Source organism: Homo sapiens, chromosome 8, assembly GCF_000001405.40.
Source record: "Homo sapiens chromosome 8, GRCh38.p14 Primary Assembly".
Lineage (NCBI taxonomy): Eukaryota > Metazoa > Chordata > Mammalia > Primates > Hominidae > Homo > Homo sapiens.
Window position 1 is genome coordinate 24451893 of NC_000008.11, and position 27739 is coordinate 24479631.

Genomic DNA, 27739 nt, shown 5'->3' on the forward strand with positions numbered 1-27739 from the left:
TCATTTCATTATGTACCCAGTAGTCATTCAGGAGCAGGTTGTTCAGTTTCCATGTAGTTGAGCGGTTTTGAGTGAGTTTCTTAATCCTGAGTTCTAGTTTGATTGCACTGTGGTCTGAGAGACAGTTTGTTGCAATTTCTGTTCTTTTACATTTGCTGAGGAGAGCTTTACTTCCAACTATGTGGTCAATTTTGGAATAGGTGTGGTGTGGTGCTGAAAAAAATGTATATTCTGTTGATTTGGGGTGGAGAGTTCTGTAGATGTCTGTTAGGTCCACTTGGTGCAGAGCTGAGTTCAATTCCTGGGTATCCTTGTTAACTTTCTGTCTCGTTGATCTGTCTAATGTTGACAGTGGGGTGTTAAAGTCTCCCATTATTATTGTGTGGGAGTCTAAGTCTCTTTGCAGGTCACTCAGGACTTGCTTTACGAATCTGGGTGCTCCTGTATTGGGTGCATATATATTTAGGATAGTTAGCTCTTCTTGTTGAATTGATCCCTTTACCATTATGTAATGGCCTTCTTTGTCTCTTTTGATCTTTGTTGGTTTACAGTCTGTTTTATCAGAGACTAGGATTGCAACCCCTGCCTTTTTTTGTTTTCCGTTTGTTTGGTAGATCTTCCTCTATCCTTTTATTTTGAGCCTATGTGTGTCTCTGCACGTGAGATGGGTTTCCTGAATACAGCACACTGATGGGTCTTGACTCTTTATCCAATTTGCCAGTCTGTGTCTTTTAATTGGAGCATTTAGTCCATTTACATTTAAAGTTAATATTGTTATGTGTGAATTTGATCCTGTCATTATGATGTTAGCTGGTTATTTTGCTGGTTAGTTGATGCAGTTTCTTCCTAGCCTCGATGGTCTTTACAATTTGGCATGATTTTGCAGTGGCTGGTACCAGTTGTTCCTTTCCATGTTTCGTGCTTCCTTCAGGAGCTCTTGTAGGGCAGGCCTGGTGGTGACAAAATCTCTCAGCATTTGCTTGTCTGTAAAGGATTTTATTTCTCCTTCACTTATGAAGCTTAGTTTGGCTGGATATGAAATTCTGGGTTGAAAATTCTTTTCTTTAAGAATGTTGAATATTGGCCCCCACTCTCTTCTGGCTTGTAGGGTTTCTGCCGAGAGATCTGCTGTTAGTCTGATGGGCTTCCCTTTGAGGGTAACCCGACCTTTCTCTCTGGCTGCCCTTAACATTTTTTCCTTCATTTCAACTTTGGTGAATCTGACAATTATGTGTGTTGGAGTTGCTCTTCTCGAGGAGTATCTTTGTGGCATTCTCTGTATTTCCTGAATCTGAATGTTGGCCTGCCTTGCTAGATTGGGGAAGTTCTCCTGGATAATATCTTGCAGAGTGTTTTCCAACTTGGTTCCATTCTCCCCATCAGTTTCAGGTACACCAATCAGACGTAGATTTGGTCTTTTCACATAGTCCCATATTTCTTGGAGGCTTTGCTCATTTCTTTTTATTCTTTTTTCTCTAAACTTCCCTTCTCGCTTCATTTCATTCATTTCATCTTCCATCACTGATACCCTTTCTTCCAATTGATCACATCGGCTCCTGAGGCTTCTGCATTCTTCACGTAGTTCTCGAGCCTTGGCTTTCAGCTCCATCAGCTCCTTTAAGCACTTCTCTGTATTGGTTATTCTAGTTGTACACTCATCTAAATTTTTTTCAAAGTTTTTAACTTCTTTGCCTTTGGTTTGAATTTCCTCCTGTAGCTCGGAGTAGTTTGATCGTCTGAAGCCTTCTTCTCTCACCTCGTCAAAGTCATTCTCCATTCAGCTTTATTCCGTTGCTGGTGAGGAACTGCGTTCCTTTGGAGGAGGAGAGGCGCTCTCCTTTATAGAGTTTCCAGTTTTTCTGCTCTGTTTTTTCTCCATCTTTGTGGTTTTATCTACTTTTGGTCTCTGATGATGGTGATGTACAGATGGGTTTTTGGTGTGGATGTCCTTTCTGTTTGTTAGTTTTCCTTCTAACAGACAGGACCCTCAGCTGCAGGTCTGTTGGTGTTTGCTAGAGGTCCACTCCAGACCTGTTTGCCTGGGTATCCGCAGCAGTGGCTGCAGAACAGCGGACTTTTGTGAACCGCGAATGCTGCTGTCTGATCATTCCTCTGGAAGTTTTGTCTCAGAGGAGTACCCGGCTGTGTGAGATGTCAGTCTGCCCCTACTGGGGGGTGCCTCCCAGTTAGGCTGCTCAGGGGTCAGGGGTCAGGGACCCACTCGAGGAGGCAGTCTGCCCATTCTCAGATCTCCAGCTGCATGCTGGGAGAACCACTGCTCTCTTTAAAGCTGTCAGACAGGGACATTTAAGTCTGCAGAGGTTACTGCTGTCTTTTTGTTTGTCTGTGCCCTGCCCCCAGAGGTGGAGCCTACAGAGGCAGGCCGGTCTCCTTGAGCTGTGGTGGGCTCCACCCAGTTCGAGCTTCCTGGCTGCTTTGTTTACCTAAGCAAGCCTGGGCAATGGCGGGCGCCCCTCCCCCAGCCTCGCTGCCGCCTTGCAGTTTGATCTCAGACTGCTGTGCTAGCAATCAGCAAGACTCCATGGGCGTAAGACCCTCCGAGCCAGGTGCGGGATATAATCTCCTGGTGCGCCATTTTTTAAGCCCGTCGGAAAAGTGCAGTATTAGGGTGGGAGTGACCCGATTTTGCAGGTGCCATCTGTCACCCCTTTCTTTGACTAGGAAAGGGAACTCCCTGATCCCTTGCGCTTCCCGGGGTGAGGCAATGCCTCGCCCTGCTTCTGCTCGTGCACGGTGCGCTGCACCCACTGTCCTGCGCCCACTGTCTGGCACTCCCTAGTGAGATGAACCCGGTACCTCAGATGGAAATGCAGAAATCACCCGTCTTCTGCATCGCTCACGCTGGGAGCTGTAGACCGGAGCTGTTCCTATTCGTCCATCTTGGCTGCCCTCCCCCTCAGCTTGGTTTTAATAATAATAAATACTTATTTTATAAACTCATGTTGAGAAATAGCGATGAATCTTTCTAGGACAACAATGTTAAATCAGATTGTACATTCATTCTGTGGAAACGTTGATTGGGTCAATTTTCTGTTCGCTATAATAAATCTATTAATAGATGAAGAGTTTTATTTGTATGTGCGTATGAGTCACCAGAAATATTAATTTAGAATCTACTATACAACCAAGCAGTTTATTATATATTTTATATATGCTATTTCAAAACAACCACAAAATAATTATATTCTATTTACCTGTTGCATCTAGTTAATGTTCCCAAAAAGTTTACTATGATAAAATTTTAACACACAGAGCAGAATTGAAAAAAATCCATATACCCGCTAACATATACATATACCCATAGATCCATTAAGTTACACATATTCACTAATATTTTACTATTTCTGTTTTATATCATCTTTCTCATCTATCCATTCATCCATCAATCCATTCATCCTCCATGTTATTTTTATGCATTTTAAATTATATTACAGACATCAGTTTACTTTCCCCTCAATACATGAACAAGGTTAGCATTAGAGTTTAGTATTTGTTTTTGTTTGTTTTGAGACACAGCCTCACTCTGTCACCCAGGCTAGAGTGCAGTGGCACAGTCATGGCTCACTGTAGCCTTGATCTCAACCTCCTGGGCTCAGGTGATCCTCCCACCTCAGCCTCTCAACTAGCTGGAACTACAGGCACATGCCACCACACCCAGCTAATTGTATTGTTTGCAGAGATGGTGTTTCACCCTGTTATCCAGGCTGGTCTGAAACTCTTAGGTTCAAGCAGTCCTCCTGCCTTGGCCTCCCAAAGTGCTAGGATTACAGGCATGCACCACTGCACCCAGCCTAATATAGGTTTACACTGAATTTTTTCTTTGTATAACATTTTCATAAAATGAAATGCACAAATTTTAAATGTCCATCTACATATTTGTTGAATTTTATGTATGTATGTATGTATGCATGCATGTATTCACTTATTGTAATTTGACAAACTATGATTGTATATATTTATGGGGCCAAAGTGATGTTATGATTCATGAATACAATGTGTAATAATTAAATCAAGCTAATTAACATATCTATCACCTCAACTACTTATTTTTTTTTTTGTGGTGCAAACACTTGAAATTTACTCTCTAAGATTATTTACTCTCACTATTATTAAGTAAATTCACCATGCGGTGCAACAGATCCCAGTAAAACTCAAACTAACTTACTCATCCCATGTAACTTGGGCTTTGTACCCTTTGACCATCATCTCCACATTTTTCCTACAGCTCCAGTCACTGGTGACCACCATTTTATTCTCTGCTTCTATGAGTTCAATTTTTCTAGATTCCACATATAAATGAGATTATGCAGTATTTGTCTTCCTGTGCCTGGCTTTTTTCATTTGGCATAATGTTCTCCAATTCCACACATGTTGTCATAAATGACAGAATTTTCCTCTATTTTAAGGCCGAACATTATTCCATTGTGTATCTTTACCATATTCTCTTTATCTATTCATCTGTCGATGGACGCCTAGGTTGATTCCATAATTTGGCTATTGTGAATAGTGTTGCAATGAATATGGGGGAGGAGACATCTTTCCCACATAGTGATTCCAAATCTTTTACGTAAACACCCACAAGTGGAATTGCTGGGTCCATCCATTGAGCTCTGGCAAATGCACATATCTATAAAACTCCTATAAAAATACAGAACTAACACTCAGAAAAGTTCTTCATGCTTCTCCTGAGTCACCTCCTCTAAAAATCTGTCCTGGGAATTTTTTTTTTTTTTTTTTGCCGTAGATTACATTTGTCCATTCTGGAAATTTTTAACACAAGAATCACACTACATGTACTCTTTTGTGTAAGACTTTTAAAATTTAGCATACTGATATTGAGATTCATTCATGCTGCTGCATTTATCAGAGGTTTGCTTTCTTTATTTTCTTGCAGTATTCTGTTGAATAAATATACTGCAGTTCGTTCATCCACTCTCCTATTGATAGACATGTGGGCTGTTTTCAGTGTTTGGCTATCATTAGTAAAGCTTCTATGAGTGTTCATGTACAGCCTTTTTATAAACATATGTTTTCATTTCTCTTTGGTAAACACCAAGGAGTGATATTCCTGAGTCACAGGATATGTATATGTTTAGATTTATAGAAATCTGACAGATTCTTTTCCAAGGTGTTTGTCAAATTTTAGTAACTACCAGCAATGTATGAGAATACTACCTGCTGTATGTATTCCTCATCATTTTATACTGTCACTTTAAAAAATTTTAGCTATACTAGTTGTAATATTTAACTATTATTAAATGTTATGTTTCCTGTTGAAAACTTTATGTGCTTATTTGATCATTTGTATATCTTTTTAATCTTTAAATATTTACCCATTTTTATTGGATTGTTTGTCCTGTTATTATTGAGTTCGAGGAGATTTTTTTTTCCTCACTCTGTCATCTAGGCTGGAGTAGAGTGGCACGATCTTGGCTCACTGCAACCTCTGCCTCCTGGGCTCAAATGATTCTTGTGCCTCAGCCTCCCCAGTAGCTGGGACTGCAGGCATCCACCACCATGACTGGCAAATTTTTTGTATTTTAGTAGAGATGGGGTTTCACCGTGTTGGGCAGGCTGGTCTTGAACTCCTAAGCTCAGGCAATCCACCCGCCTTGGCCTCCCATAGTGATAGGATTACAGGCATGAGCCACTGTATAATTTGGAGACCAGCCCTTAGTCAAATATAGTTCTTGTTATGTTTGTTCCTGTCTGTGACCTTTTAATTCATTTCTAAAAATTGTGTCTTTTAACAAGTAAAAATTTATAATTTTAAATAAATTTTAATTTATCAGTTTCTTTCTTTATGGTCATCATTTTCTAGGACCTAAGAAAAATTGCCTAACTGCAAATCACAAATATATTGTATGTTTGCTTCTAAGCTCTTCATAGTTTTAGCTTTTAGTTTTGGTCTGTTATGACCTTAAATTTGTGTATGTGCATATGTGTGTGAGTGTGTGTGTGTGTGTGTGTGTGTGTGTAATTTGCTGGAGAAGTCAATATTCTTGTTTTTCCCTATTTATAGGCAATTATTCCAGTCCATTTTGATGAATTGTCTTTCTGGTGCTATTGGATTACTTTGGCACCTTCGGCCAAAATCAAATGACTATTTCTTGGCTCTCTATTCTATCTTATTCATCTATTTACAGTCTGTAAGCCATGGCCAAACTGCCTTGATTACTGCAGCTTTTTAGTATACTTTGAAGGCACAATGTGTAACTCTTCTAATCAGAATTGTTTATTTATTCTAGGTCCTTTGCATTTCTATATAAAACTTAGAGTCACCCTGGCAATTTCTATTAAAAGGCCCGCTGCAATTTTACTGAATTTCATTTTAACTTACTGACTCTATAGATAAGTTTGGAGAGAACTGACATCTCAGCAGTGTTGAGTATTCACGTTATAACTCATCTACTTTAATGTTTATCAACATCTTTTAAAGTTTTCAATGTGGAGCTCTCACCTGTCTTGTTAAATTTATTTCTTTATATTTACTATTTCTGGTGGTTATATAAGCTGAATTGTCTTTATTATTTCATTTTTCTATGATTTGTGTCTACAATATAAAAGCAAAATGGATTATTTTATTTAGGCTTTGGATTTGAGAAGCATTAGTAAATGAATTTATTGATTGTTTTGTAGAGTACTTAGAAATCTTCTAGGAAATTTACCATCTTGTCATCTGAAAATACTGATAGTTTTGTCTTCCTCTCTGATTATTCTTTCTTTTATTTTTATACTTTATTTTATGACAATGGCTAGGACCTTCATTACAATTTTACTGGAATGAGTGAGGGCAGCCTTACACTTTTCCTGATCTTAAAGGGAAAGTGTTCAGTATTAAATGATTAATATGACAGTACCTGTAGATTTGTCATTGATATACTTTATCAAATTAAAGTTCCTTGAAAAGTTTTTTGCAAGTATTCTGTCTGAATCCATTGAAATGTCGATATGGCAGTGTACACTGATTTTTGTTCATTATACCTTATATATTATTTTATAATAAATTATTTTATTTAATTTGCCAATATCTTATTAAGGGTTTTTGAAATTATGTTACTGATGGCTATTCTGTGTTTTTAGTTTTTGCAATAGATTTGTCAAATTTTGATGATAGATTATGTTGTGCTTCTGAGTTGGGAAATATTCTCTCCTGTATTTTCTTAAAAAAGTTATTTTCAAAGTGTTTGACAGAATTTACAAAGGAAACTGCATGTGCCTTGAGCATATTTGTGTGTATGTGTAGGAAAGAGGTTTTATAACCAATTCAAGTTTACTTATAAGGGGTTATTCAAAGTTTCTATTTTATCATGCATCAGTTTTAAATTACAGTTTTCAAAAAAAAATGTCTATTTCACTTAAGTTGCCCCCTTTTTTGGCATAAAGTGTTTCATAATATTATCTTATAATTTTTAAAAATGTAATAATTTATTTAGTGATAACTCTTTTTAAATTTCTATTATTGGTAATTTGGGTTCTTCTTATATGATCAATCTAAAAGGGGCTATCAATTGTCGACCTTTTATTTATTTATTTATTTTTATTTTTTGTTTTTGTTTTTGAGACAGAGTCCTACTGTATTTCCCAGGCTGGAGTGCAGTGGTGCAATCATGGCTATTGCAGCCTCAACCTCCCAGTCTCTAGGCATCCTCCCACCTCATCCTCCTGAGTATCTGAGACTGAAGCCATGTGCCACCATGCCTGGCTAGTTTTTTAAAAACCTTTTTGTAAAGATGGGTTTTCGCCTTGTTGCCCAGGCTGGCCTCGAACTCCAGGCCTCAAGCAATTCTCCTGCCTTGGCCTCCCAAAGTGTCAGGATTACAAGAGTGAGCCATCATACCTGACCTGATTTTTCTTTAGCTTTGTGAATAATTGTAATTGGTTGTCTATTTATTTCACTGATGTCTTTTATCGTTTGTATTATTTTCTTTATTATTCTTATTGAGTGTTTATTTTTCTCTGGTTATAGAAATATTTAATATTTTCTAAGTATTTAAAATATTGAAGTCATAGCATTTCTCTCAAGTCTTCATTTAGATACATCTCAAAAGTCTTGATTTTTTTTATTATCATTCATTTCAAAATATTTGATTTCTTCTGGGATTTCTTCTTTGAGTCATGAATTATTTTAGAGCATGTTATTTAATTACCAATGTTTGGATTTGTTTGATTTTTTTAAAATGTATCTTTGGGCCAATCATTTGTGTATTTTGCAGTTTGTTATCTGATATTAACACAGCTATTCCAGCCTTATGTTTACTATATAAATAAGATACTATTCTTTTATTCATTTCCTTTCAACATATCTGTGTCTTTACATTTAAGATGTATCTTTTGTAAGATGGAAATTAGTTTGGTCCTGATTTTTAATGCCTTCTAATAATCTCTGATTTTTAATAGGAATGTTAACATTAACATTGAATGTTAATGTTATTATTTTTTAATAGGTTAACATTTAATGTTAATGTTACCGTTCCTATTAACATTACATTAAATGTTATGATTGGCATGGTTGGAATTATTTCTTTTATGTTTATCTCCTCTGTTACTATCCTTTTTCCTTTGATCTTTGGCTTACTTTATTTTTCACTTTCCCTGCTGGCTTCTTATTAATCTCTTAACTTTGTAACAATGACTCTCTACATTAGATTTAATTTTCATTTTAGAGATTGCAGCATATATTTACAATTAATCATTAAGTTATAGTTAATGTCATGTCATTTTATGTGAAATGTAAAAACATTGCAATAAGTTCATTTACAGACACTCCTTATTTGTGAAAAGTTGCCATATATATATACATATACACATATATATGTGTGTATATATATGTATGTATGTGTGTGTGTGTGTGTATATATATATATATATATCCCATGATGCATGACTATAATTTGGCTTTAAACATTTATATGTATCTTATGTGAAAATATGTTTTAGTTTATTCATTTATCACTTCTTATCTCTCCCTTTTTGTTACAGGTTCAGTTTTTTTCATGTGTTACAATTTCATTGAGACTAAAGAACTTTTACCAATTTTTGTAGCATAGATCTGTGGCAAAAATTCACTTCAGTTTTATTTTATCTGTAAGTCTTTGTCTTCCTTCTTGAAGGCTATTTTTGCTGCATATAAAATTCTGGGTTCGCCAATTTTCTGTATGCTCCACCTTCTGGGTTCACGCCATTCTCCTGCCTCAGTCTCCTGAGTAGCTGGGACTACAGGCACCCGCCACCACGCCCAGCTAATTTTTGGTATTTTTAGTGGAGACGGGGTTTCACCATGTTAGCCAGGATGGTCTCGATCTCCTGATCTCGTGATCCACCCGCCTCAGCCTCCCAAAGTGTTCGGATTACAGGCTGAGCCACTACGCCCAGCCGGTTTTCTGTATTTTTTTAAGAAAAGATGATGACTGATGATGTTCTCCTCTTCTGGCTCACATAGTCTCTAATGGAATGTTAATGGTTGTACAAATTTCTGTTCCCCAGTATGTGTCGTGTTGTCTTTCTCTTGCTGGTTTTGAGATTTTGTCTTTATTTCTGATACTCTGCAATCCGACAGTGATGTGCAAAGGTGTGACTTTCTTCTCGTAAATGCTGTTTGATGTTTTCTGAACTTCTTGAAATTATAATTCATGTCTTTCTCCAAATTGGGTTCATTTTTTGCTACTACTTTTCCATTTTTTTTTCTGATACCCTTTCTCCACTTTCCAGCACTCCACTTAATCAGTATGTTAGTCTTTTGATGTAATCTACATAGCTCTGAAGCTCTTTTTTTTCTGTCTCTTTTTCAGGTTAGGTAATTTCTATTAATCTCTCATTGAGTTTGTCAACTCTTTTATCAGTTTTGTTCTTATTTTAAGGATATCAAGTAAAACTTATCTAGGTAGTTTTTAGCTATAACATTTTCAATTTGTTTTTAAAAAATATAATTCCATTTATCTGCCACAGTTCTACATTTTTGCATGCATTGCAAATAACTTTCTTTTACTTTGCTAAGCATAGTTATAGTAGCTGCTTTAAAAGTCTTATCTGTAATTTCAACTTCTAGATTAACTTGAGATAAGCCTCTGCTGATCATCTTTTCTCTTGACGATAGTTCAATGTTTCATGTTTCTTCATTGTGTAAATTTGAATTATGAACTGAACAATCTGAATGTTGTGTGAAATGGACTCCAAATTCTGTTACGTTCTGCTGAAGAGTTCTCATATTTTCATTTTATTTGGAGATTAACTTTGTTGGACTTAAACGGCAAATTCTGTCTTTTGGGTGGCATCAAATTTTAGTTCAGTTGTTTTATTCTTAGCATGGCTACTTTTAATCTATCCTTCACATGTCATAGTTCAGGGAAAATTCTGAATTTGAGACTGAGTTTGTTTACAGAACTGAGGATTCTCCCCGCTCTCTCATTTTTTTCCATGATTACTGTGTACATTCCTGTTACTGTGATTACTCCAAACTCTGTTATATGGCTTTTCAAATAAGAACAACTGTGGTTTTCTAGCAGAGTTTTATCCGTCCTCTATAAGGCAGACTTCAGCCTGACCTCAAGCTAAATGCTGTAAAACTGGAAACTTCATCTTATGCTGTGCCTTCTTCACCTCTCATGCTGTGCCTTCTCCCCTGAGCCTCCTTCCCTTTCCCAAAGGATGCTGACATCCCTTCAGAGTCTGCCTGCTTTTGCTCGGTACCTAGATCCTTGAGGTACTTTCTTTTTATGTATTATCCAGAACTAAATATTTATACATGGAATGTCTGTCTAGTAGTAGCTTATTCAGCCATAGGAGGAATGAAATGCTATATTTAGTTCATTTTAAACATTAGTTCACCATTTATTTTTTTGACCACTCCTAATATTCCAAATACTATCTTAAAAACTGGAAGACACAAATAAATAAAAATGAAAAGTCCTTTTCCTATGGTAGTTCACAGGTAACCTTTGAAGACTGACATGAAATACATCATGGGTGAACAAATGATAATTGGTACACCAAATTGGGCATGTTTTCTATTAATGTATACCCCTTAATCTAAGAGTAATGTTCAAAATTTGGAATATTTGGAGTAAAAACAGCAGCAACAGTAACAAAAAATGAAACAAAGAACATGTAATAGCAGCCACATATATGGCCAATATAGCCTCGAATGCTTATTGTCTTCACCTGTACAGAAAAAGTTTGCTACATTTTTATTATGTAGCAAACATGAAAATGAATATCTTTTGAAGTGTGAAATACACCTTATGAAGGGATCTCAAAATCTGCTTGATGGAGTCAGGATGTGTGTTTTGCACTGAGTTTTGAAGAACTTCTAGAAGATTCTTATGTTCAGGTTGGGATCAAGAAGTGGCCATGGGTAGTCCAAAAAGATGTTCAAGAAAAAATTATTCAGTGACAGTTGTTAAAGCACTGTAAGGCAGGCTTTATTCAGGCCCATCACTATAGATATAGAGACCACTGCAATGGTAGGGTCTTGCCATGGGGGAGAGAGATTGGGCTCAATTCCAAATACAGCATGGGTAGTGTGAATTTATTATAATTAATACATATTACTTTTATCTAAATATGTAGCTGTTAGGTTACTATATATTAAGACGTACTCGCCACATATATCTTATGATGTGATGAATATAAGACATATTCATCACATTTATTAATGCATGTTTTTTGCATTAATTTTGATCTCTGATTTTTGCTTAGATAACATTTTCTCCAAGCTATTTTAAAAATACTGCTTTGCTAAAACTGCCAGAATCTATTTTCTAGCTTCTCTACAGTCTTTATGAACCATGATATTTAAGTAGAAAGGCTCTTCATATGAGTGGGCTTGATTTTGCTTTACTATTTCTAGCGGAAGAGGATCTTGCTGAGATTTGGAAGCAAACTGGACACTTCTCCATCACATTATAGGTTTTATCTGTCAGGTTTTTAGAACGAACAAATCTCACCACCTGTCTGCCCTCTTTTTCAGGGAGTTCCTAGGCTCAAATTACAGTGAAACATTCTACTCCATGAAAGGAGAAGCGTTCACCAGGCATCCTCAGATCATGGTATCTTATGGAACTTTACTGTGTCTCTTCTCTAAAAGCAGTATTTCCTGATGTGATTTTGAAACCCTGTTCTAGCTGTACAAGCTGTTTCAGAAAGTACTACATCAGAAATAAGCTCTGAATTGATTACTCTCACTGAAAAATTATAGTATAAAAATACGATTGTGTGGACCCTAACCTCTTACTGCCTAACAAGCAAATCAATGACTGCTAATATAGCTTTGCTTTTCCTAAACTGATTTCTGTACACTCAATATGGTGTTAAGTCTAGGAGAGGGTAAAGCAGGACACCAAAAATATAAGGCACCTTATGAGGCTGTGATCAAGCTAAACGGATAAAATCTGAAGCTATGAAACAACTTTAAAATCTCCATTAATTGATCCTTATGTGATTCTCATCCCCTTGCCCGGTTTTTCTGACGCACCAATGTTGAGGTCTTTTCTTCAATCCTCAAATGAATTTTTGTTCATTTATTATTATTATTCCATTAATTTTAATAAAATCTAGATACAGATTTTATTTTTACATCCCCATTGCTTTTTTCCAGAACATGTCCTCTGTAACCTTCTACCAAGAACATTACTTTTACCAAACCTATACATTTAAAAAAGTATTTCCTCCATTTAAAGCAATGGTGAACTTTGTTTTGTTTTGTTTTGAAACAGAGCCTCACTCTGTTGCCAGGCTGGAGCGCAGTGGTGCAATCTCAGCTCACTGCAACCTCCGCCTCCCAGGTTCAAGCGATTCTCCTGCCTCAGCCATCCAAGTAGCTGTGACTACAGGCGCATGCCACCGTGCCCAGCTAATTTTTGTATTTTTAGTAGAGGCGGGGTTTCACCATGTTGGCCAGGATGGTCTCGATCTCTCCAGGCTGGAGCGCAGCGGCACAATCTCAGCTCACTGCAACCTCCGCCTCCCAGGTTCAAGCGATTCTCCTGCCTCAGCCATCCAAGTAGCTGTGACTACAGGCGCACGCCACCGTGCCCAGCTAATTTTTGTATTTTTAGTAGAGGCGGGGTTTCACCATGTTGGCCAGGATGGTCTCGATCTCTTGACCTTGTGATCCACCCGCCTTGGCCTCCCAAAGTGCTGAGATGACAGGCGTAATCTACCATGCCCAGCAGCAAATGTCAACTTCTATGAGAGCTAAGTCTTCATGCAATCTTCAAAACAGGACAAGAGGAAAACTGGGTAACATTCTTTTATGCAGGGGGTGGGTTATTTGTGAGGGTGTGAGGTCCCTGGAAGACCACAGAAAGTGTCATCCATAGGGAGGATTTTAACACATGGAAATGATGGGAAAAATAATTACCTGATTGGACTACCATGGGCAGAGCATCAAGTAGGGAGTAATAAAGACACCAACTTGATTGAAACAGAGAGGCTGGAGAGAAAGGCTAGTTTCGTAAAAATTTTAGGGTGGATTAAAAAGTAATATTTCTAAGGAAAAGGTCACAATTCTAAAACTACTGTCGTCATTAACAGACTATTAAATTTGTAGAGGAAGAATCTATACTTTGCTTTACACAACATAATCACATAATTAAGGTAAAATGTCTCTGAAGCAGGCTCAAATATTTCCAAATGAAAGAATTTAATGAATGAATGCAGAACAAATATCAATGCAATTTGTCAAAATAAAACATTGATATATTCTGAACAGAAAATATTTAGATATTAGTATCTATATAAAATCAATATTTATACATATAGTAATAGAGTCTTCTTCTATTTTAGGATCATTGTTTTTACCAAGGATCCATAGTACACGAATATGATTCAGCTGCCAGTATCAGTACGTGTAATGGTCTAAGGTAATGCAGAATATCTTTCTTTTTCCTTTATGAGTTTTCCTATGGATTTTCAAAGAAGTTAACTTTGTTGATTTTGTTTTATCACTCCTGGTATATAGAAAAATTAATGAGAAAAAAGCTGCTGTGCATTTTTAGCAGTTTCAGCTGTAGCCTATGATTTACATTTTGACAAAGAGATGCCTAATGCATAGTCCTGAACAAGACAAGCTTTGCAGTATATGAATAAGGGATTCATATTTGGAAGATTACTGAAAATCATTTAGTCTGGGCTCTCATTTTATAGATCAGGATACTGACTGAAATTAGAAGCTTTCTCCTGAATATTCCATTTGCTAGTGGTAAAATTGAGCCTGAAACCCAGGTCTTTTGAAGGCTAGTTTTGTGAATTCCCATTATGCCGTAAGGCTTGACTCTTTTAGCTTTTTACTAAATTGAGCTGTGTTTGCAGCCTCTTGAAAGTAAAAATTCAGAAGTAAAGCCTATAGTTCTCTATAGATCATAGGCTCATGGACAAAGAAAGATGATGTGGAGAGGTAAAGAGGAAAAGAACAAGGAAGTTCTGTCTTTAATTACGGGAAATTTGCTTGACTAGTTCTTAGTGTTTTCAAGAATGAGAACCCCTTTAATGACACAGTTACCACATATTAGTATTTTTACTTTCATATATTTACTTTCATATATATTCCATGTCATGATAGACATAGAAACTCACATAATTTTTGCAATAACTCTTAAGACTTGACAGCGGTCCACAACCACCAGTGGGACTTGCTACACTACCTGTACTCAAAGCAGATATTGGACTGTGAAACTTCTGAAAATCTAGTAAGTTGACTCTTAGAAAAAAGTATTGATTCAGTCAAAGGCCTCATATCATCACATTTCCTTACCACTGAAAGCACTCTCCTACCTGTTCATGAAGCACTGGCTTTGTGGTTTCTCTTTCTTGAAAAGGCAAAGTCAATACAATGAAATAGAGTAATTATAGGCCTTGAATACAAATTGTGTTCCCAATTTCTACAGGGGATTCTTCAGAATAAACGACCAAAGATACCTCATTGAACCAGTGAAATACTCAGATGAGGGAGAACATTTGGTGTTCAAATATAACCTGAGGGTGCCGTATGGTGCCAATTATTCCTGTACAGAGCTTAATTTTACCAGAAAAACTGTTCCAGGGGATAATGAATCTGAAGAAGACTCCAAAATAAAAGTGAGTACTTTATTATTATCTTTACCCCAAATGAAACACCTTTTATTTTCTTGATGATGTCTAGGGATAAAGTATGAGTCCAGTTACTGAAATATATGTGCTACTTTCAGTCTGGCACTTCATCTGATATTTGAAATTGGAAAATTTTTTCTTGTCTATGTAAAAAGTGTTTATTTCATAGAGTTTGTTTAATCAGTTTCAAGAAAGGATGATTCTACAATTCTATGTATAGATTGATAACATTGGGGCTATGAGTAGTTGGAAATCATGAAATTTTCAATGTCCTAAAACCTAATCTAGAGATAGTGTCTTTCCTTTTCTTCCCTGCCATTTTTTTTTGCAGAGTTATTGATGACAAGCTATGTTCTCCCCTTTTTATCATTCAAATGTTTTAATGGTTAAGGATGATTAAGGATAAAACAAGTTCAGTTTTTGGTGGGATGGTTGTATAAAAGTAGTCCTTGGAGCTTTAGGCTTTTCTATACAACTAATCCATATCCCCTTAAATTCCCAGTGGATGTTAGTCTGTAAGCTACTTGGTTGTTTTTCTTCTTCGTATGTCCATGATTTGTATAGTGTCTGACACATACTGTATGCCTAATGGATGTTTCCTGATTGAATAAATCAACAAATAAATGATTACTTAGTCCATAGAAAAAGATTTAGCCAAATCTTTGAACAATTTACCTCTGTTTTGTCCTCAGAGAATATGTACATACCTCAGCGCATGCACACTGAAAGCTGAATACTTAGAAGAATTTCCTGGTATTGGTGTTTTATAGACATAAAAGATTGGCCAGGCATGGTGGCTCATGCCTGTAATCCCAACACTTTGGGAGGCTGAGGCGGGCCGATCATCTGAGGTCAGAATTCGAGACCAGCCTGACCAACATGGTGAAACCCTATCTCTATTAAAAATACAAAATTTGGCCAGGCAGTAGTGGTGTGCGCCTGTAATCCCAGCTACTTGGGAGGCTGAGGCAGAAGAATACCTTGAACCCAGGAGGTGGAAGGTTGCGGTGAGCCAAGATTGCACCACTGCACTCGACTCTGGGCGACAGAGTGAGACCCTGTCTCAAAAGAAAAATAAATAAAAATAAATTTAAAAAAAAGATCTATGATTAGCAAAATTTGTACATGTTTGCTTGGAATTGAGACTACTGAAAATTAGAAAGTTGGGAAGCAGGGGAAGGAGTACAAGAAATGCAGTCAGTCCTGTTGGTCCACACTATGTTTTAACTCTCAGTTACAGATGGATGTTTTTCACGTGAGCTTACTAATGAAACACTTACTCAGTAAATGAAAAAAAAAAAACCTGAATGTTAAAGTATGTGTTTATGATTATTTACAACTCTTATTTGACCTGAAAGCCTAAACAAAGCATTAGGAAAAAGAGCTAATGCATGCTAGGCTTAATACCTAGGTGATGGGGTTGATAGGTGCAGCAAACCACCGTGGCACATGCTCACCCATGTAACAAACCCACATATCCTGCACATGTACCTCGGAAATTAAAAAATAAAATTAAATTTAAAAAAAAGAAAAGAAAAAAAAGAACAAATAGAAAATACTAAAATCCGATGTATAGGACCCCATGTTTAATCGTATAGATCTCATTTAGATAAATTCGTACAATTTTTATATATTCATATGCCTCCCCATTTTGTATCAATATCAACATTTCTTACCTTGAAAATACTAGGATTTTTTTTCCAACTTAAAGGGTTAAGATAGAAAGTGTTAACTATACTTCAACTGAATTTTCCCTAACTTTACAGGGCATCCATGATGAAAAGTATGTTGAATTGTTCATTGTTGCTGATGATACTGTGGTAAGTTTTCAATAGAACATTTCTCTCTTTATTCTTCCTTTTGGAACTTGTAGTTATCATTCTAGCATAGAGAGAAAGGTATTCTAATCAGAGTTCTATTCTAGGCTCAAAGTCCTATTTTTAGCTTCCCAAAACAGACATACATAAGAGATTATGGGGTCCTTTGCCACAATAGCAGACTGACCCAAAATAGAACACCCCTCCCCATTAAGAACATATGGAAATGCTGAATGACATACAAAAAGTTGAAAATATTTTAGCAACCTGTTGTTAAGCTCAAAAGAAAAAGTGGAAAATCTCCAAGTACTAAAAATGAAGAAGAAAATCTCTATCAGAACAGTGAGTAAAATTTAAAGGCTTGGTGACCCCGCTATACAGAATACAAAAAGAGGCAATTGTAATGTAATTGAATGTAAACCCCTGAGAAGCACAATACTGAAATTTGGAAATGAGACCTCTGCATTATTCTCAGAGCCATAAAGGGCTGCCCATCTCAGAAAAGGGAACTAGAAACGCTCCACAGAAACTGCAAGAGATAAGGGAAATTTTCTGTCTGCCTATAGCCATGAGCAGGTAAAATGTTACACATGGGAAAACAAATCTCCTGTCTGTGTTATGCACAGATGTGGGACATGATATTATATATTTCTTCAGATGCAGCACTGCCAAGCAAATTTTTTAATATAAAAACTTATTAGAGAACCGCTAAACTGCTGGAAGTCAAGTCAAAAATGCCCTAAAGTGACTCTTCAATAATCCAAGATAAAATGAACCACATGAGGAAGAGTCAATCAACTTAAAAAAAAGGAAAATAAGCTCACCTGGAACTGTAAATCATCCAATGATATTTCAGACTGTGCTGTGACACTAAATGTTTTAAAGTTATTAAAGATGTAAAAATGAATTAAAATGACACTGAAATGACTAGAAAAGACTGGACAAAACAACAGGCATACTTGAAAAACTACCTGTTTTAACATTTATAAAAGGAAAACGTATATACCCTTGAAAAAATTAAACAGAAGATTAGACACATGTGAAGAAAGAATTAGTGAACTAGAGAATGGAGGATATAGAGAAACCACCATTTCTCCAGAGAAATAAAAAGTTGGAAACTGTAAAAGAGAACATAAGAGACATTAATTCAGAATATAAAGCTTATAAAGAGTGAATGGGAATGATTGGATGACAGATGACAAATGAGAGACAATTCTTGAGAATTTTCCAGAAGGAAAGGAATAAGCAAATCAGATAACATGGTAGAAAAATTTCTGAATATCAAAGACAAAGAAAAAATCTTTTAAAATCAACTGTAAGAAAGAGGCAGATTGACTATAAGTAAATCACAAACAGAGCATACGTTTTAAACAACAGAAGATACAGTTTCTAGAAAGTAAGTTCAAACAGCTAATGAAAAATGTTATAAAATTTAAATTGAGTACTAAAGTATCAGGCAAGGATAATATATTCGGAGAAAGAAATCATACTTAAAATGTTCTATGGAATTTTAGATTAGGAATGTAAAGGTAGTCACAATTTTACACTTCATAAGTAAAGTGTGAGTATTAAAACTTTAATTGTAATCACTATGAACCTAGCAATTAGAATGTAAATATCCCAAAAGGGTAGAGGGAAATAGGTGGATTTGAAAATAAAAAAAAAAAGACCAATCCAACAGAAAGCCTCAAAGAAAATACACACTTGCACACATACACCTACAGTCATGCACCACATAACAATGTTTTGGTCAACAATAGACCACATATATGAAAGTGGTTCCATTAGATGATAACAAAGCAGAAAAATTCCTATAGCCTAGTGACATCGTAGCCATCATAACGTTACAGCACAGTGCTTCACTCATGTGTCTGTGGTGATGCTGGTGTAAACAAACCTACTGCATTGCCAGTTGTATGAAAGTATAGCACATACAATTATGTACGGTACACAATGCTTGATAATAATAAAAAACAACTATGTTACTGGTTTATGTATTCACTATATTATACTTTTTGTTGTTATTTTATAGTGTACTCTTATTGATATATTTAAAAAGTTAACTGTAAAATAGCTTAGGTGAGTCTTTCAGGACATATTCCAGAAGAAGGCATTGTTATCAGAGGAGGCGGCAGCTGTATGTATGTAATTGCCCCTAAAGACCTTCAGTGGGACAAGATATGGAGGTGAAGACAATGATAGTGATGGTCCTGATTTTGTGTAGGTTTAGGCTAATGTGTGTGGTTTTTGTCTTAGCTTTTAACAAAAAAAGTTTGAAAAGTAAAAATAAATTAAAAAACAGAAAAAAGCTTACAGAATAGAGATATAAAGAAAAAATATTTTTGTACAGCTATAGAATGTGTTTGATTTTAAACTGATGTCTAAAAAAATCAAAAGTTTAAAAATTTTTAAAGTTTATAAAGTAAAAATGTTACAGTACGCTAAGGTTAATTTATTATTCAATAAATAAAAATATACTTGTGTAAATATAGTGTAGCCAAGTATAGAGTGTTTACAAAGTCCACCGTAGGGTACAGTAATGTCCTAGGCCTTTATGTTCACTCACCATTCATTCTTTGACTCGTCCAGAGAAACCTCCAGGCCTACAAGCTCCATTCATGGTAAGTTCCCTAAGGAAGTGTACCAGGTTTTTTTTTTTTGTCATTTATACCATTTTTTATTGTACTTTTTCTATGTTTGCATACACAAAAAGCATTATGTTACAATTGCCTACAATATTCAGTATAGTAACATGCTCTACAGGTTTGCAGCCTAGGAACAATAGGCTATACCATATGGTTTAACTGTGTTGTAGGTTATAACATTTAGGTTTGTGTACGTATGCTTTATGATGTTTGCACAAAGAAGAAATCACCTAAGAATTCATTTCTCAGAATATATTCCCATTGTCAAGCAATGTATAACTATATTACATATATACATACACACAGAATAGTAAATACAAAAACAGAAAAAAATATGTGAAGGTAATTCCAAATGTGTCAGAAATTAGAGTAAATATAACAATTACATCTGCCTGTTAGAAGTTAGAAAGTCTCAAATTGAATATAGGAAAAGGACATTATGACATTTATAAGAAATATACCTAAACTTCTCAAGAGACCTAAAAAATCTCAAAACTAGTTTCTTCTCTCCAAAAATATATCTTATGATTTTAATAGTATATAAAAGAGAATTTATGATTTAAAAAGTTATTTGAGATAAATTGGGGAATTAATCAGAAAAAGAGCACCAAAAGGATACAAAATATGAAAATACCTAACAACAAAGTATAAAAAGATAACAAAAAAAAAAAAAAAACAGGTTTGCCAGAAAAGTAGGGTATTTTTTAGCTCCTCTCCATCAGAAAATGTAAGGTCAAGAGGAAAAGCTTCAGCAAAAATGGACAAGATTTGAACCACATAAATGCAAGTTTCATTTAACCAACTGATATACTACCTTGCATTTAAAAAAAAAGAATATGTATTTTTTTCATGTACAAATAACATATTTGAAAAAATTAAGTGGGTATCTGGCCACAAAGAAAATACATAGAAATAGCAAAGAGATATCATAAGATCACTGTTTTCTTTTTTACCACAACCCAATTAGAAGTTATAACAGAAATTGTTAAATTAAACCACTAAAAGACTATTGGTTTGGAAACTGAAAGTACAATATATTTCCAAATATTAATTGTCTAAAAAATCAAATCTGAAATTATGGACTATTTATAACTGACCATAAAAAATAGTAAAGTAAAATTTATTAGATACAGGTAGCATACCAGTATTTAGAAAGACATTTGTCAATTTAAACAGTTTTATTAAGAAAAAAGAAAGAAAATAAATGGACTAAGAGTCCAACTAGAGAGATTAGAAAACAAAACAATATAAATCCAAAGAAGGTATAAAGAAGAAAGTAATTTTAGCAATGAGAAAAATCAATAAAACCACCAAGCAAAACAAAAAATACCACAATGGAGTAGTTCAACAGAGCCAAGTACTAATTCTTTGAAAACATTAATGAAATAGACAAGCTTCTGACAATGCTGATTAAAAAATATAGAAATATATGTAAAATTAGAAGACAAAATATAAATAAAAGTTACACTTTATTAAAAATATATGAAGAACTATGTGCCAATAAATTTATAAACAGATGTAGTAAAATGCTATCAAGCTGACTCAACAATAGGAAACCCCAAAAAGATTTACAGCAGATTTGAAAAATTACATAAGTAGTCCACAACCTATCAGCAAATAAAGACACCAGGAGCCTCAGATTCGTTTAGTGGCAAATTTTACCAAAGTTTTTTATAAACAAACAACCTTTGTTTAACAAAGATAAATAACCTTATCTTTTACAAACTGTTCCACAGAATAGGAAAAGAGGAAAAAACCCCACATTTTATAAGTTTATTATAACCTTTGTATTATTTATCTACCACTGTGTAATCAACTACTCAAAACCTGGTGGGTAATCAATGACTCATGCAGCTGCAGTAATCTATTGTGTCCAATGGCTGGCTAGTCTAAGATGGCCTCAGTCATTTGCCTGGTACGTGATATTGGGTTTCAGCTGGCCATGTATCTCCAATAGGCTAGCTAGTTGTGCTTTCTTGCATCATAGCTGGGCATCAAAGCACCAAAAGAGAGGTGAGGCTGCAATGTGCAAGAACTTTTCAACCTTCTGTTTGTACATGTTTTCATGTCTCAAGCAAAGTAAGTCATATGTCCAAGACTAGAATCAACATTGGAGGAAACTTATAAAAAGATATAGATACCTGTAAGAGTGATTCCTTGAGTCATTACAGTAACAATCTATGACAACTGATAATATTGGTAACAGATCTAGACATGATCTTATGAGAAAGTAAAATTATAAGCTAATGTCCCTTATAAATGCAATTTCAAATGTCCAAAAAATATTTGCAAACCCAAGCCAAGATATATCCATAAAAATTTACATGAGAGTGACGGTTTCCTCCGGTAATGTGAATATTGCTTTGCTTTGACATGAATAGATTTTTAAAAAGTGATAATTTCAAATATCTCAAATTTATATATATAGTATATATTTGTGTATGTATACACATACATATAATTCAACACTCATTCATAATAAAACTCTTAGGATATAAAAAGTGGAAGAAAATAAAGTATATTTACCAAACTCCTATTCAGTATAAACATTAAACTTATTAATAAAATGTTGGCAGTTTTCCTCCAAAATTGGGAATAAGGTACATTTGTTCATTGTCACCAGATTTCTTTCAACATTTTTACTGAAATTCCCAGCCAATGTAATAAAAAAGGTAAGACCCATCTTAATTGAAAAGATGTAACAGTTTTTACACATTAAAGATAGAAGAAACTATAATTAACCTATGAACAAAATTTTAAATCAAAATTAGTAAGTTCTAAGCACTAAACAGATAGGCTTACACTGGCATGTTGCTGAGAAATTTTATAAAGAATGCTGAGACACTTTGCTCTTAATAATAATATATGTGTTATTAAAGACCAAGAATAGGTTATTAAAATTTTTACTCATATACTAGGTGAAGGGTTGCTTGGTGTGATTTTAGTTGCATTAAACTGGGCTTTAGTGTATAGCTCTTGCTCATGCTGCTTTAATAGTATCTTAAAATATTTAAGGTTTTCTTTATTTAGAGAAGTTCCTAAGGTAAATCATCCATTTTCATTAGACAAATAGTTAATGAGCATTCAATATGCTAGGTTCTGAGTATTAATGATATATATGATAGCCAAATAAAAAAAGCAGCAGAGGTCAGGTGCAGTGGCTCACACCTGTAAACCCAGCACTTTGAGAAGCCGAGGTGGGAGGACTGCTTGAGACCAGGAGTTTGAGACCAGCCTGGGCAACACAGCAAGACCTCATCATGACAAAAAGAAAAGAAAAAAAATAGCTGGGTGTGGTGGTGTACACCTGCAATCCCAACTACATGGGAGGCTGAGACAAGAGGATCACTTGAGCCCAGGAGGTCGAGGCTGCAATGAGCCATGTTCACGCCACTGCACTCCAGCCTGGGTGACAGAGCAAGACCTTGTCTCAAGGAACAACAACAACAAAAAGAGCAAGAAAGCAAGAGAAGGATAGAAAATTTGAGCATTGCAGTCAGATAAAATAAGGAAACCAAAGGCAGTCTTTGGAAACCTGTTGAGAAGTTTATATATCTCCACAATAATGAGGAATTCTCAGCAGGAAAGTGAAGTGAGGATATGGATGAAACACTGACAGCTAGCAAGTTGAAAAAGAAGAGCAGAACACAAATGTCTGAATCCTGGGAAACACCCATCATTAAATAAAGATTTGGCAATAAAAGTGCAAAGCTCATACCTAACCATTCCTCCTCCCTCCCCTCTGATTGAAACTCACTGATTGATAAAGCATCTAATCTTTGTGATCCCTAAAATAGCTTCAGAATATTCTCCACAGTGAATTTTAGGCAGTGAATTTTGGGTAATTTTTATCAATCAATCAATGGAAATCCTGTTGTGAAACACATTTGTCATCCAGCATTTAAGGGATAATGGGAATGCACAATAAAATAGTAGGAGTGTCCGGGGTAATAGAAACCAAGAAGAAATTTCTTGAAACAGAAAATAGTCAACATTAAATGTGGAGAAGATGACCAGAAAGGAAAATATGTTCACAATGTATTTGATAATTAAGAGAATATTTGTGGGTTATTAAGAATAGTTTCAATGGAATAGTGGCAGTTATAATCAGAGTGTAGTAGGTTGAATACGTGGAAGATGAAGATTGAAGAGATTCTAATGCTATATCTTAGCAGTATTTTGATCTTTAAGGTAACAGGACAGCAATGGCATGGTAACAAGCAGATACTTGCGGGATTCAGGAAAGGCAGGTTAATTTCTTATTTTTATTATGAAAGAAGTTTGACCATTTGCATTTATCCCTACAGGACACCTTATGTTATTATTAAGTACATTTGATCAGGTCTAAATTGATAATTGATACAAGATCCCGATAGTACAAAAAGGGAATGCAGTTATAAGGAGACAACAAAAGTCAGAGTAGACTGGACATGAAAAGTCTGGTTTGCCCTCGTAGCTATTTCCTGGAGGGAAGGGGTAGCTACAGTTTCCTGTCCCTCTTCAGCACTTCTCCAGCTCCAGTGGGTTTTTAAATTACATATTCCTTATTTTGTGAACACCAAGGACACAGAAGGACTAATAAAGTTGCTGTTCTTCGCCATATAGATTGCTTTGTAGCTTTAATAGGTTTGTTTCATCAATGTGATAAAAATGGACTCTAAAGAACACTAATCAGTTGGTTTAATAAATTAATGCAATGTAGTACAATGTAATGTGAAAAGGAAACAGAGTTAGAAAGAAAAGCTTGAAGTAATACTACACCTAAGAATGTCTTTAGGAGGGCTGTATTTAGTTATTTTATATCAAAAATGTATTTAAGTTGTCTAGTTTTTAGCTGAATGAAAGGAGTTCTCTTTCTTCATTAGGCCAATGATTTTTTTCTTTGTAATAGCTGATGAATGAAGTATTTTGTTGAGCTTTTATGCAACTCCTATTATTAATGAATATTAATATGATATTTATATTTCCAGTATCGCAGAAATGGTCATCCTCACAATAAACTAAGGAACCGAATTTGGGGAATGGTCAATTTTGTCAACATGGTAAGATTTGATACAGTTTTTGAATCAAGCCAATAATACGAATGCAAAGAACCTTTCAGCGCAGTTCTCTGCTGGACTATTGTAGTTACCTGATATTAAGGGAGTACAAAGCACAAAGACTAATAAGCAAAAATCCACGGGAAAAAATAATAACAACAAACCACAGCTCTGAATTTTCAATTTTCGATGTAAGTGACATTTAATATTGAAATAAGTTTCAAAATTTGGTCTCTAATCACAAAATTTATGAACCAATGTACAAAGAATATGAAAATCAATCACTGTAAACCAAATCACACTACTTTAAATCACTGCTCTGTGACGTTGTATAACAAAAAGTCTTAAGTTATAATTTGTTGTCCATGGTTTGGCATAGAAAGTGGAGTAACTGTTTCAGTAAAATATATTAAAATGCTTAATTTGTCTAAATTAGAATGAGGTATATAACCCTTTAAAAAAACAAATTGTGAATGGCAACACATTTTTTTTGCCGACTCATTCTAAGACACCTCAGCCCTATTACTAGGATAAAGAGACCCCATAAGAAAAAGCTGTAAGGAAGGCCCCTCTAGGCCAATGGTTACTAATTCACCAGTTGAGGGACATTTAATCTGTTTGTAGTTTTTGGCTATTGTAAATACAATGGCTTTAAATATTTGTATATAGTTGTATGTGCAATTATAGAATTTCATTTATTTTTTGTAAATAACGAAGAAGTAGGAATACTGGGTCATATGGAAAGTGTATGCTTCCTCACAATAATATATTCTTTGAAAGAAAGTTACTATGCACGGCTCACACTTCAGTGGAAATTATGCTCTTCCTCCTTGACAATGGAGCATCTACATAAATTAGTTGAAATTTTTCTATGCAAGAGATGTATCTCTTTTCTTCCATTAATATGTATTTAATAATTTATTTATATCAGTATGGACTCATGGATATTTATTTTGTACTTTGAGTTACAACCTAACACTACTTTATTTTGTTGCTCAAACTGTTTCAGTTTTGTCCATTGGGCAATATTTTAGCTGGTCTATGTGTCCCTTGGGCATACCCTCATCAGTGTGTGTGTGTGTGTGTGTGTGTGGTATTTACAGTGTTGGATTCTCTGAACTTCTGGGATCTGTGATTTGCTGTTTTATACTATTTTTAAAAATTATTGATCATTCAAATATTTCAAAGAAATTGAAATATTTCTTCTGCCTTGTTATCTCTCTTCTCTTTCTCATATTTCAATTATATGCATATTAGATCCTGTGATTTTCCCACAGCTTTGGACCTTCCCCTATGTGGTTTTCACTCTTAACTCTTTGTGTTTCCATTTGGCTAATTTTTGTTGGGCCAACAAGATTCTTTCCTCACCCATGTCTAGCCTACTGATGTACTCATCAATGGTATTCTTTGTCACTACTACCATATATGTACTCAGCTAATTTCACTCACTCTCTCTTATAGTTTCCACCTCTCTGCTGAAATTCCCTCATCTTTTCAAGCTTGTTTTTCACTATATTCATTTTTTTATTACTGCATAACAAGTTACCACAAACCTAGCATCTTAGAACAATACTCATTAACTATCTCACAATTTTTGTAGGCAGGAAGTCTGGGTACAACATAACTGGATTCTCTGCTCAGGATCTCAGAATGAGGAAATCAGGCCTGGGGATCTCAGCTTGTTGTTGTTGGCAGAATTTATTTCATGCAGTTACAGGATTGAAGTCCTCAAATTCTTGCTGGCAGTCTGCTGGGGCCATCTCAGTTACTGGGGGCCCTGACAATTTCTTGCCACACAGTGCTCTCTCGGACCCTTTCACAACATGGCAGGTTTCTTCTTTGGGCCAGCAGGAGAAATGCTGCTGCTTCAAATTACTAGACTTGTTTTAAAAGATTAAGTTAGGTCTACCCACAGTAAGTTCACTGTTATTCAACTCAGAATCCTCTGATTTGGGTACCTTAATTACATCTGAAAAGCTGTAAGCTCCCTTTATCTTTGTTCTGTTTCATAACCTAAATATACTAGTGAAATTCATCATAGTCACAGTCCTGCCCACGTTGAAAGGGAGGTCATTCCACAGTGTGTTACTGTCCAGGAACAGGAATCCTTGGGGGCCATCTTCAAATTCTGCAAACCACATCCATGTTTTCCATTAGAGCCTTCAACATATTATGGATAACTAATTTAAATTTCCTGTTAGACAATTTCAACATGTGGGTCATCTACGAGTTTAGTTTTGTCAACTCTTTTCTCTCCAACAGTGGGTTGTCTTTTCTTGCTCTTTTGTATGTTCTTTAATGTTTTATTGGATAGTAGACAGTATGTATAGGATAGTAGAGTCTAAGAAAATAATATTTATGCCTGAAATGGTACACTTCCTCTTTTGCTAGGTCATTAACATGCGGAATTGGATTAATCTGGTCAGAAATTAGCTGATTTTGTTGCTACTGCTACCTGAAGTGCACTATCAACTGCATATTCATCTAGTGTTACTTTGTGCTTAGGGTGGGTCCTGAATTGTTGGGGAGTTTTTCTCCATATTTCTGTTCCTTTCTCGACTTTAGGCTTTTATTGAGAGCCAGCACCTCAGCACGTTTATTGAGAGCCAGCACCTCCCTTCACATTCTCACTGCTTCTTCAGTAGTGGCGTGTTGTTTGTTCCTCAGTGCCTTCTAGCCTAGTTATGGGGTCCAGAGCATGTTCTATCATCCTGATTTAACCTCAGTCTTAGGGAAGCCCTGTCCATGGGTCATTGGGTGAGTATTTCTCAGTGTTCATTTTCCTCTCCATTGGTAGGAGATCTTGAATGGTCTGGATTCAGGACAGTTTCCCACCTGTCCTCCAGGAGTAGAAGGCTATTTTTGTTTTGTTTTGTTTTGTTTTGTTTTCCTTTTCTTCAGCTGTAATACATTTTAATTTGGGTTCTGGGGGAAAAATTTACTATAGCTCCCTTGGCAGTTTAAAGCTTTTGTTCCTTGAGGGAAAGAGTTCGGTAGATTTTATAATTTTTTGCAAAACAGCAATTCTCCCCTTCTTCAGGCCCACTCCACTGAGGGAGCCATCTTGAGTCTCCCTCTCTGTCTCCCACTGTGGTTGTTGGCGTCCATGGAGGCCCATGGAGATCAATCT

At 35.5% G+C, this 27739-nt stretch overlaps 1 protein-coding gene and 1 long non-coding RNA gene across 2 annotated transcripts in view, besides 1 other annotated feature; one reads left to right on the plus strand and one right to left on the minus strand.

Moving 5' to 3' along the window:
* The window catches only part of ADAM7-AS1 (ADAM7, ADAMDEC1 and ADAM28 antisense RNA 1), a 252805-nt gene that overhangs the window by 156079 nt on the left and 68987 nt on the right, over positions 1–27739 (minus strand). The window lies entirely within an intron of this gene.
* The window catches only part of ADAM7 (ADAM metallopeptidase domain 7), a 68540-nt gene that overhangs the window by 10867 nt on the left and 29934 nt on the right, over positions 1–27739 (plus strand). Inside the window, exons 4-8 of the mRNA NM_003817.4 lie at positions 11990–12068; positions 13807–13883; positions 14907–15096; positions 16875–16928; positions 24541–24612. Of these exons, the coding sequence (NP_003808.2) occupies positions 11990–12068; positions 13807–13883; positions 14907–15096; positions 16875–16928; positions 24541–24612 (472 nt within the window). The remainder of the gene's footprint in view (positions 1–11989; positions 12069–13806; positions 13884–14906; positions 15097–16874; positions 16929–24540; positions 24613–27739) is intronic.
* Positions 2614–3113: an enhancer, noted in NCBI's record as "H3K4me1 hESC enhancer chr8:24312019-24312518 (GRCh37/hg19 assembly coordinates)". NCBI's record gives its function as "activates a minimal SCP1, AML or CMV promoter by ChIP-STARR-seq in primed H9 embryonic stem cells {active_cell/tissue: H9 hESC(primed)}" and the evidence as "EXISTENCE:reporter gene assay evidence [ECO:0000049][PMID:30033119]".